Raw genomic sequence first — 12,838 nt, forward strand, 5'->3', positions numbered from 1 at the left:
ATATAACATGATGAGACACTGTAATGCCTTAGAAAGTGCAGCAATTGTGAAACCATGCTATTACTGGTTGCTTATATCTATCAAAATATTTTTTGAAAATGTTCTATTTTTCCAGGAATCAATACTTACCTGACATACTGCATCATATTTTCTCATAAATACTCCAATGTTTTTTTCATTTCAGATTATTTCTAACAATTATCTATATACCTAAATACATATATTGATTTTATATACATTTTTATGTTTGAAAGCATATCATATATATTGAAATTTATCAAACTACAGTATATAAATTTCTAGGTAATTACTTGCATTTCAAATCTTCCCAAAGAGCTGAAATTCTATAACACTATATTTATACATTTTTGCAAACTACTTATTAAATAAGACTTTCTCTTCATCAAATCATACACAAATATAAAGTCTATCACGCAAAAGTTCCATATTCCCTGGTTCTTCTTAAACAGTAATATAAATAGGCATATAAAATTACAAAAATTAGGATATGTAAGCTTTGCAATGATTTGTTTTCATGGCGTGATCATTTCATTATAGCCTAATGAATTTTGTCACAGTGTCTACAACTAGCAAAAGCAAGTTAAACAAACACACTTGCACAACCAGTAAAGAGGTAAAAAAACACCCTAGACCGTGCAGAAGATGTACAAGACCTCATTTTGGATATTTGATCCACATTACATACAAGCAATATTGTATCAGTACTGCTTTTGGCAAAATTTATCGGTAGTGCTTTATGTTGATGGATGACTTGTGTGCTTTTGGTTTTATTTATTTTTTTGGCCTTCAGCATGCTATTTGTTATTTTTTTCTGTAGGTGACCCCTGAAAGTACGTATGTAAACTGCAGCATAGAATGCAGTCCTAGAATATCTATGGCAGCAAAAGATGAGAGAGAAAAAGAGACAGAGAGAGACAGAGAGAGACAGAGACGGGGAGGAGTGGCGTTTATCTCCCATTATAATCAGTGGTAAAATTTCCTTAAATACATTTTGGCATTCATTTTCCTTTTGAAAACCTTGCTGTGGGGTCTACTTGCCCCTTTCAGAGTACTGCGCAACCTTCGCAAGAGACCATTTAGCACAAGTTTCCACCTTGGAGTAGATCTTCCTACCTTTCCAGTCTTAATTCTGTGTGAAATGGCTGCAAATCGATGGTTGAGCTCTGAGATTTGGGGCTCTACTAATTTCCTGCAGTGGTCACCGCGGTTTGCCATCAAGTTTGCTGCTTGGTCACGTGTAGAGTCCACCTTTGGGCGTATGTCATTCAGTTCTGCCTTTAAACGCTATATTCCATGAGCAAGAGATAGGACTTGAAGTTAGTAATTAATGAAGGTCAAGATAGAAAAAGAGAGCCAAACAGAGCGAGTGAGCAAGTGAGCGAGAAGAGTGAGAAAGAGAGAGAGAGAAAGTAAGAAAATGAGAGCAAGCACATGCAGAAAATACAAAGGGAGATAAAACCACAACTTCCATAAAACAGGACTAAAATGAAAATGCGTGTGATTTCAGAAAAATAGATCACCGTCCTTAAGTTTGATGCATGTCTATTTAAAATGTTTATTTAGTCCGAGGAAGGACAGGGATGTTTTCCCAACTATGTTGTTGCAACTATCATAATATATTCTATTTAGTCTTATTTTATTATATCGTTACTGAATTTAATAGTTGTGGAATGAACTAAGTATGTGCTCAGGAGGTCAGGTAGCTGAAGAACACTTTTCTATTCCTTCCTAGCACTTTCAAGTTCCTCTTTATTACATTGAGTGTCATAAGAAAAAAAGTGATTTTCTAACACATACGAATTTTCTGTCACATACAGAGGTACTGAGGAATGTTCTTCCTGACCTGCCGGGTCACAGAGGTTGAAGTTAAATAACTCAGACCCTATTATTCAAAAAGCCTTGAAGGAAATTCACCATAAGATGACATCTCTGACTATACATCAAGGGATAATGAAGAGCACAATACAGATCCACATCAAAATAAGCTTCAGACAATGGCATAAATGTGTTTTGGGGATAGCCTGGAATGAATTTATAGTTTTTCATTAAAGGTATATCGTAATCTGTGGAAAATATCAGAGGCATAAAAATAAATTGCATAGAAAGAAACATAATTTTTGAGTTTTCTTTAAATAGTAAACAACTAATCAATAAATTTATCAAACATTGCAGCAAAACAAAATAAAAAATGTTTATTGAAAAGAGAGCTGTTAAAATTCAACTCTACCTATTTAATTGGGAAAAGAGACATCATCAAATAGAAACAATGTAGTGTCTATAAGGTATATTTGCGTATTACACCTCTCATACCCTTTTATCGGAATCATTTTTTAAAGAAAAGATTAAGTTCCCCTTGAAAAAGAAGACAGGGCATCCTAACAGTCAGTTTTGAGACTAAAAGAAAGAACCCAAAGCCTAGTTTACATGTAGTTAAAAATGAAAACCTCAGCTTTACATAAGCCCAACATTAAGACTAATTACCAAGATTTGGATATGGCATAGGCAAAAAAATCAGCTGACTGGATTTCAGGTGTTCATTCAGATGGGCTAAATGAATGATAGTGTCAGATTGTTCTTTGTGTTAGACACAAGAATGTAGTACCACCATTGACAAAGGCAGAAATTTGCAATATGATTTCAAAATAAATCTTGGAATATCTTTCTGAACGGAGTTTACATTGGGTATAATTAACTGAGTGATGGATTTGAACAGAAAGTCAGATTACAGAACTCTTCAAAATCATTCATTTCCATTCAAAGGGGGAAGGAAGGAAAAAGGGAAAGATAAAGGAAGGAAGAAAGGATTGTTTTACTCTTATTAAGACGTCCTTAGTATCTTTTAGGACAAAGATGATTGAAGTAACTGGTGTACAATTTGGACATTACTTTTCATATTTTATTTGCTACCTTAAGCACGTCTTCTTTTTGCTGGGGTTTCTTTTTCTCTGATTCATCCAAAAGTGTGTCAGCCTGAATGATCCACTTTGTGATGTGGTCCACATTCTGGTCAAAAGTTTCCATGTGTTTCTGGTATTCCTTAATTGTACAGAGACATACCATGGCATTATTGGTTAGACAATATTCTTAAAGAATTTTTCCTATGTTCTAAAATGTTTAAAAGACAACAATAAAGTTTCATTGAGATTAGTTTTAAGTGGTATTTTCATATAGAATATTGCGTAAATATAAAGAAAAATATATTAAAATATTGTTATAGATATTGAATTAAGAGCCAGCATATACGTAGAATTGAGAAATTTTCAAACACAGAATTGTTACTGGTCACTTATGTATCTTTTTCTCGTGACAGAGAAGGGTGTAAAAGCTTCTAGCCTTTTCTCTTACCAACAAAAGATTTAACCACTCTTCTGCTCGGGAGGTGACAGCTATCCAGTTACTATTCAGAAGACTGAGTTTATCTTCCACCAACGTCTCCTTCTTGCCCAAAACTGTTTTCAAGGCCTCTCCTACCTCTGTGATACTCTTCAGGTGCACCTTCTGTTTCTCAATCTCTTTTTGAGTAGCCTGTGAAAAGGAGAGCATTGACCTTCAAGTAATGTCTTGTAGTCTTAAGATTTAATGCTTATGAAACGGCTTTCTGTATGGTTACTATGATTCTGCAAGGTTTTAAACCTATAACTATGTATTAATGAATCATGAAAACCATACCATATATACTGAAGCTTCATTGTTGGGTAACTATGAACATATATATGTACATAAGCATAATTCATGTCTTATTTTTCATTATAAATATTTAATAAACATACATATTGTTCAACTAAATATATTTATATTTATTTAATTTATACATGTAGTGGCTAAAGGCAGATATTTGAAAATCCATCCACAAATAAGAAACTGCCCTTAGAAAATTCTACAGTATGGTGCTACTGTATTTCTGCAGCAGGGATTTTTTTAGCCTTTTAGTGCCATGGATCTTTTTGGCATCTGTTGAAGCTTAAAAACCCATTCTCATAATAATGCTTTTAAATGCATAAAACAAAATACATAGGATTTTAAATGAAAACAATTATACTGAAATACAATGTGCAACACATTTTTTAAATATTTGTGATGTAGTAATACATGTTTTATTTCCTAATATGTTAATTAACAAGATCTAGCATCAGGTCTTTAGGATAATTTCAATGTAGTGATGACGAGCATAACTGGTATTTTTAAGTATGTACAATGTCTGGAACACGTTATAAAAGTATCTGTCATTTCTATTAGTGACAAAGTCATGGGTATCTCTATTGCTGGAGTTTGTTGCTCACATTTTAACTGAAAAAACTGCTTACTTTTGGTTTTAATTGAATACAAATAAAGATAAAGTTTTCCCCCAATCCAAGTTCACAGACCTTATTTCTATCCACATACCCTAGACTAAAATCTCCTAAGAGAATACCACTATTTCCTAAGAGGTGATTTATAAAACATGAAAACAATCACATTTAACATGAAAAAAGATAGAGAGTAGTGATGGAAAAAGTGATCTTAGTACAAAGGTTTACTACCTGCCCTGCATAAAGCCCCTTTCCTGGTACATGGCACGGCTGACAGACAATGTGGCCACTCGGCATTCCACTGAGTCTGTGCCTGGTTCTTTCCCTGCCTGTCTAGTTAGCCAGCTGTGGGACATTCACAGAGAGCTGAGCCAGAGCCCAACAGACCCTTTTTCTCCTTTCTCAATAAGGTTAACAGATACAGAGACTGTGATTGGCACTCGAGTTGAAAAGCTATTTGCGAGTGGAGCTGATGTCTTAATCACAGAAAGCCAAAGCAAAACAAAATCATTGAGAAACAGCAATAACAGGAAAGTGGAGAAAGTCCAGATACAAATAATCAATTAATAAACACACAAGGAGCAGCTCTGTAATGCCAGCCTACATCTAATTTCTTAAGAAAAAAATTACAGTACAAGAGTAAGAAATTAGGTATAGGCTGGCCTCATAGAGTCACTCTCAACATGTCTTTTCTATCTTTATAATATACCTAAGTAGTCCTGTGGCTGTCTTTCTGCCACGCCATAAGGTCCTGGTCCACTCGAAATCACTTCTCATACTTTCTGTTTTGGTTTTGCCTTTGGCATCGGATAAACAGGAGAAATAAATGAGGAAACAATGTATAAAAATTTTTATGCAAGACAAAAACACTGTTTCTTCAATTCTAAGATATGGTTTTATGTCACATTTTTTCAATAAAAACATGCCTGAAATTAAGGTACTTAATGCCAGATGAACTCGACAGCTATCATGCATGGGGTTCTTCATATGTAGGTGCTATTTGTTGCACACAGGTGAGCTTAGCAATTCATAAAAGCAATTTCTTCATTTATCAATCGTAAGTGTTGCCTGAGCTCCTATTATATGCCAGTTACTACTGTAGCAGAATCATATGTAATTCTCCTCAATATATTCTGGGAGATTATTAGAAGTCTCTCATTTGGGTAGATACAGACCCTTTAGAGCTTAACTTCAGAGTAGACATAGACTAGATTTTATTCCTTTTAATACTTTGACTTCAACCTTTTGTAGTATACAACCTCTACAACCATAGATGTTAGCCATTGTTACTAGGCTCTGTGGGATAAAACGGTAGAGAAGTCCCCATCCTTCAAAAACTTATATCCAAGTATGAGTTTGTCAAAGAGATGGACATATACGCAAATGAGAATTATCTACTTTCTATATTCCAGTCTACTGGCATCTCGCTGTAGTTGATTTATTCACAAAGGTAACCCTTCACAAAGTTGAAGCTTAATTTATATTTGGATTACTAATTATCTCTTAATAAGTCTTCATAAAGATGACACTATATTTTAGCATCAATGTAAAAAGTTATTGTGTACATAGATTTTGTTTCTTACATGACAAGCAATGCAATTAAAGGCAATGGAATTTTCCAAAACTCAGAAGAGATCACAAAAGTTTTGAACTTAGGGGATAATGTTGCAGGTAGTTCCTGGGTCACAGAAACCATTATGTGTCAACATCTGGCCAAATTCCTCCAGCTAATTTAAACAATGTCCAGTGATGTTCAGTTGATGGGAACAAAATAGGAAATGTGGACTAATTTCTAGTGCCTTCTTAAGTTCCACAAAATTATAAATTAAAACTAAAAGATGTTCAATTTATCACCATTATCAACTTGTATTTGAAAAAAGCAGTGATATGATGGTGGTTTATAACTGCTAATGGTCAAAAGTGATTCACAGGACAATTTACACTCTGTAAAAAAAGAGACCTAGAGTTAAACTTTTATGTATGCTATTCAACAATAAGGAACCAGTATTCAATCATTTGTATACATGCTGTTTTGGGTTAGGAAAAAATATTGTGTTAATTTAGTAGGCCTTAAATTTTTCCCTCAAATGTGTTTTTAATCAAAGATATGACTTAAGAAATAAGACTTAAATAAGACTTAGCCTTTAAATACTATGCTGAGCTTGCTTTCTGGAGATCTGAAATACTAATTGACCAATGTATATCAGGTGCCTAATATCCAGTCTGTACTGTGCTATTCACTGCCAGAGATGAGGAATGAGGTAATCTTTGCAAACCTCACTCTAATCATGCCTACAGTGTAGCTGCAGAGGAAAGCTTAAATGCAATAAAACAATTTGATATCATACTAGAAAAAAATCACATTTTTTTTTGGAAACAGATGAGCCATGGCTGGAATAAGCATGAATGACTACAAGGGAAAGGTGACACTTGAAGGCGGAGTGTGCATGGGATGGTTTGGATTGACTAAAGACAAAGTACGAAGCAACGAGAAGGTATGAAAGTTAGAATACAAGGCTGCCATAGAGGAACAGGGAATTCTTACTGTAAACTAAAAGAATACATTTGATGAGGTTGTTGACGAACCATTTTCTCTGGCTCTAATAGTTTCCCACAACACAAGAATGTCTGCATCTTCAGATGTATGGAGAACCAACCTAGAGCTATTGCCTTGGCCATTGTCTTTATACCTGTACTCATTCCTCTCAAAGGGAGCTCCTTATTTATAGGGTTGGCGAGATGGAAAGAAACAGCTGAAAAGATATGGCATTTCCTCCTTTTCAAAAGCATCCGATTCTCAGCATACATGCCTTCTTCTGCCTTGTGAGGTGAGAAGTGGAGAGGGTTCTAGAAGATCTACTCTTCTGAAGGAGCAAGTTCAAATTCAATGACTAAATTCACTAAATTATAACTCAGACACTTTAGGTTTTTCAGTCATGTAGTAATGTGATTGCTGCTAGGATCGATTTTAGGGCTGAAGAAAAAGCAAGATTGTGTACACTCAGTTTTAACTTGACCTATGACATGATTGTAAGTCCACCTTCAGGAGATTCAAGAGAAGGTGAACGCAAACTATATACTTGGCACTAAGGGTTTTTATGATAGAGGGGAAAATATCTGACATAAGTAAAATCCAATTAAACTATAAATTCTCACAATGTCTAACATATTATTTTCCATATGTTACTTTGTAACATTTGATAGCTCCAGTATAAATAGTCCAAATACTAAGCACTAACTTCCATGATTTCAAACAAATTTGCTGTCTACTTCTTAGCCATAATTTGTAAATGCTACTCTAATTTCCTTATTATAAAAGAATGAGTATAATGAGTTAATTTCTTCCAGTGAAGTCATGCCCCATGTTGATGGGAAGGATGAAGAATACATTCTGATTCATTCCCCATATCTACAAGTATAATTGCTTGTAGAAATTTAAAAAGGCATGTTCGGTTCAGGGTTCAGCTATCGGCTCACTTCACTGATACAGTAGCAAGATGGAAAAACCTTCTCCATTGGTCTCTGCTGATTATACCATCAGCATTTTTCATTATTTTTATTTAATGGTAGAACGGTAAAAATTATTGGAAAAATCATCTGGTCCTATAGGAACACCTTTACAAACATTTCCCTTCAGGGGTAAAGAAATGTAGCTCACTTAACCTCTATTCTCTCCTCCACCCATTTCGTATTTTCACAAGTTTTCCAGTACCTTCCACAGATTTTCTTGGAATTTCTCAGGGACTTATATTCTTAAGATAACTTCTCTGTCTGATCTCTTTTTTCCACCCCCTCTTTTTAAACAAATTTTATTATCTTAAGAGTCTCCTGTTCTCTAGAGCTTATCTTCAATCAGCACCACATTTATTTACCTACGTACCTTAACATCATTTCCTTATAGATTCCTCCCTTTACTAGGACTCAATTAAATTCAGACTTATTTTAGCTATTCCTTTCTCTTACTCATGTTCCCTGTAATATGAATAAAAGGCTAACTAAAGCATCCATAAAAGGCATCTTGAGAAGTCCCCCTACCCAGGTGAATTCTGCACTTAGTATTTGCAAATATTATACCATTTCTGATCACAGAGAACAGGAGAGGGTTCTTTCACCTTTTAGCTACGTAACATATTCGTGGAAAGAAAAGGAATACATTGCCATATTACTGCAATTCTAAGATGTGCATTTGTCACATTTTAAGGATTCGGAAATTGAGATGTAACATACAATTAAGGTTTACCTTGAAAGTGGTAGTGTTTTTTTTTTTTTTTTTAAATTCTCAGCAGCTGTAATCATATCAATGGTGCATCACACAATCTAACATGTCTTAAACATGAGGAAATGAGATGCTAATTGCTTTTACAGCCCCCAAAATTACTCTATCATGGCTAGAGGTTTAGGACATATTTTACTATTAGGCTAATGTGACAGAATAATATAATGATACATTCAAAAAGAACATAAAGCATTAAATAGTGGATTCTATAGCAATGTGTATTGACTTTTTAATAACACTGTATTGTTTATTAAAGAAGAATTTCATGAAAGCAGAATGAACTGAACAGAAATAACAGCTCTAACTATAATGACAGTGAATAGTGACTCCAATGGCATGTAACAGATGTTCTATTTTCTAAGTAACAGCTGCTTGATGCATTCATTGCACCAAGTTAATGATCTGCTAGTGTTATTTCACTTCACAGATAAATTACTCTGCTCACTTTAAAAAAAAAAGATACGTAATTTTTCAGGGGAATGAGAGTATAACAGACTTTAGAGTAAGTAATAGTTCTTATATTTTTATAGCTAAGAGGAATGATGAGTTGAGGCAGTTATCCAGATAATCTAGGACCAGAAACCAGATCTCTTTAAACTGTGAAATCTTACTGTTATAAAAAATATATATACAAGACATGGTTGACTGAGCTGAATTTAGGCTCTCGTCAGACAGCTTGAAATTCGCGGATCTTGTATCACATTATCTAGTGATTCTCAACTTTGCTGAATAAGAGAGCTAGTTAGAGTTAGACCAATTAAATCAGAATCTCTGGAAGTGGGCCCCAAACATTGGGATACTTTTCAAGTTTCTCGGGTGATTTTGATGTGCAACCAATGTTGAAAACCACAGGCAAACAGAAAGATGCATTCTGAGTTTTTATTGAGTGATAGTCATTAAATTCTAAGAGTGAACTGAAAGCCAAAGGATAATTGAGCAACCAATGTTTGTTCTTCCTGAGGTTAAATATTATAAAACTTTGTTTCCAAAATAAACGTGAAAAACACGGTAATTTGTTAAACAAGTGGCTATTTAGACATAGATTATTCTGCATTTAACACCTTCAGTTAAATTTATTAATACCATTTGTGTGCGTGTGTGTTTGTGTGTGTTCCTCTCAGGCAACTCTTGGCATACTAAGACTACTGTTAATAAAACAGGCGGTAGGATGAACATACTATAGGACCAAATTTTTTTTTTCCAGAAAATCTTATTCTACCATTTGAACTTTCAGATGACACCATGGATATTTAGGGGTTTAATGGAACTAAATTATTTAACTGAGTTGGAATCTTTGATGCTTAAAACAAAATTAGAAATAAAATGTTAGTGATTAAATCAGAAAATCATATAGATTAGACTTTGTCAAAGCTTGTATTTCCCAAACATAATGATCTTCAGGGAAGTAAACCTCTAATTAATCACATACATATTTACTTTCCTATGGTTATGTTTTCGTGATCAATTCATATGCTAAACAATATTGGCCAGTAATGGGATGTTCAGATTGATTTACTTACACTCAACTAATCAGAGTGATATTAAGATACTAACAAACAATATTTGAAATCTAAAATCACAACAGTGGGGACAGACTACAGACTGTAGTAGGTGATAGATACACACGGGTTTTCATTTTATTATTTTAATGAGGACTTATATTTTCTGCACTTGAAATTTAGCCATGGTTTGTTTCATGCTTATTGTGAATAAGTAGCTTTTTGTTATTTTAAGCTTAGATTACTTTAAAATTACTAGAAAATAAGACTTCTTATGATAATTTGGTATAGTGGAAAAAACTGTTGAAATCAGGCATAGTATTACAGTTTTGCTATGTACCAGGACTTGTATTTGTTCATCTATAAAACGGGAACATTTGATCAGGTGATTATTTATGTTTGTTATAAAACTTGTACAATTTTAAATGTAAATCAGCATTTTTCTCTTCTCTCAAGAACTGCTTTGTCATTATAATTTGCAACTCTTAATTTGCAAGTTACGTTTAAACAGATATTTCATGAGTATGTCCTATGTGTCAGGCAATATCTTATGTACATGGGAAATATCAGAGACCAAAATACACATTTTCCCTGTCCTTTTGCTGAATGAATTACTATTGCCTACATAACAGTCCAAGAGAGTAGGGGTTATCATGAAAGCTCAAGGAACTTGTGCAGTTCCAGTATTCAAACTCTTCAGGTGCTAGTAATCTCCTGTAGATTGCCTTGCCATTTCCTTCCATCATCTCTATTCTACAGCTATCAGTGTTTGTCACCTCAGCCTAGAAAATTCCATTAACAGAAAAGGAAAAGTATCTGAACATTTATGGGGTGATAAATATCACTGTGATGGCTGCCTCGTGGCATTGCTGTTGTCTGGACCATGCAGCTAGCTAGGATTGATCCATATTTTTAAAAACTTAACATTAATTTTACCCTCTTTAATACTACTCTGATTGAAGGGTGAATTTAAAAATACAGTGAAAGGGCTATGTCGCTGTAGGAAGTTGCAATTAGCATTAATAATTTAAATTGTCAATTTTCATCATCAATCTTTTATCTCATTTGTTAATATTCTCAAATGGCTTTCCTCCTGTCATTTTAATTTAAAAATTTTTCTTTACCTTTTAAACAATTTGGAATACTTTTAAAATATATTCTTTTTTTCTGTAACTATAATTTGGAAACATGGTCACAGGGTAAGGGGACACAGGACAGTTTTCTTACCTGCAGCTGTCCCTTCAGTTAATCACCCCTGACCACATCCTCACTACTTCTGGAAGTTCTCCCATTCTTTCTCTGTGGGATCATTAAGAATTAGAATACCTAAGACATTCTTGAGTTCGTAATTCTCTTCAAGTAGATGGTATCTTTAAACATCTTAAATTGTGTCACGCACCACCCAGTATCTTTTGGAAGGGCTATGCATTCTAGTATCTATGGTTTGGAATATGTTACTATTTAATTCTGAGCAGGAAGAAAACTTAGATGAATCATTCTATTTAGGAAAGACCAATTCTACAACGCCACTGGCCTATCAAAAGGATCCCAGAAATGTCAAACCTCTGATACTCATTCAAGAAGAAGACATGGCAAAATTCTATGGTCAAACAGGGTGCTGCTTCTATATTAGCTTTCCTCTAGTTCAGGAGTTTGAATATGTTCTGTGAATGGCCACATAGTAGTTGTTCTAGGCTTTGTGAGCCATGCAGTCTCTGTCACAATTACTCAACTCTGCTGTTTTAGCACAAAAGCAGCCAGAAAAAATAAACAAATATAAATTGATACACTTCAATAGTCTTATGTACAGACACTGACATATGCATTTTTAATAATTTTTATGTGTCCTGAAGTATCTAGTTCTTCTTTTGATTTTTTCCAACCATTTACATAAAAACAATTTTCAGCCCATGGGCTGTACAAAAGAAGGTGGCTGAATGGATTAGGCCTACCAATTATAGTTTGCCCATCTCTGCTCTCATTTATCTGACTAGTTAATTTGCCTTCCTCTTGGTGAGAGAGTCTCTTAGGCATTCTTCTCTATTAGGAAGCTCAAGAAGTTGGCTAGAATTGATATGGCCCCTATTAGGTCAGCTCTTTTCATGGTTCCCATGGTAACATTAATCCTCATATTGAGGATCCTGGACCCACATGACTTTGAAATCCTTAGGAGTGAATGACTATTACAAATGTAATCATGGTCACCCTATGAAAGCAATCAACATCCGTTATTTTCTGACTTTTTAACAAAAGCCATTCAGACTGGTGTGAGATGGTATCTTATTTAGGGTTTAATTGGCATCTCTCTGATGATTAGTGATATTGAAGATTTTTTAATATGCTCATTGGCCGCTTGTATGTCTTCTTTCGAGGAGTGTCTATTCACGTTCTTTGTCCTGTTTTTAATCTGTTTTTTTTTAATTTCTTGTTGACAAGTTTAAGTTCCTTATAGATTCTGGATATTATTCTTTTGTCAGATGCAAAGTTTGCAAATATTTTCTCCCATTCAGGAGGTTATCTGTTTACTGTGTTGATTGTTTCTTTTTCTGTACAGAAGCTTTAATTTAATTAACTCTCATTTGTCAATTTTTGTTTTTGTTGCATTTGTCATTGAGGTCTTGGTCATAAATTCTTTGCCTAAGCCAGTGTCCAGAAGAACTTTTCCTAGGTTTTATTCTAGGATTTTTAGTAGTTTCAGGGCTTACATTTAAGACTTTAATCCATCTTGAGTTAATTTTTGTATATGGTGAAAG

General features: G+C 34.2%; 1 protein-coding gene across 19 annotated transcripts in view; it reads right to left on the reverse strand.

Annotated features, from left to right (window-relative positions):
- DMD (dystrophin) overlaps nucleotides 1-12,838 on the reverse strand; it is a 2,220,167-nt gene that overhangs the window by 1,242,432 nt on the left and 964,897 nt on the right. For all 19 annotated transcript variants that reach the window (XM_006724469.4, NM_000109.4, XM_011545467.2 and 16 more), the window contains 3 exon segments: nucleotides 3,367-3,546; nucleotides 2,929-3,057; nucleotides 1,135-1,305 (listed from right to left, as the gene is read on the reverse strand). In XM_006724469.4, coding sequence (XP_006724532.1) covers nucleotides 1,135-1,305; nucleotides 2,929-3,057; nucleotides 3,367-3,546 — 480 coding nt within the window.

Source organism: Homo sapiens, chromosome X, assembly GCF_000001405.40.
Source record: "Homo sapiens chromosome X, GRCh38.p14 Primary Assembly".
In the NCBI taxonomy this organism is placed as follows: Eukaryota; Metazoa; Chordata; class Mammalia; order Primates; family Hominidae; genus Homo; species Homo sapiens.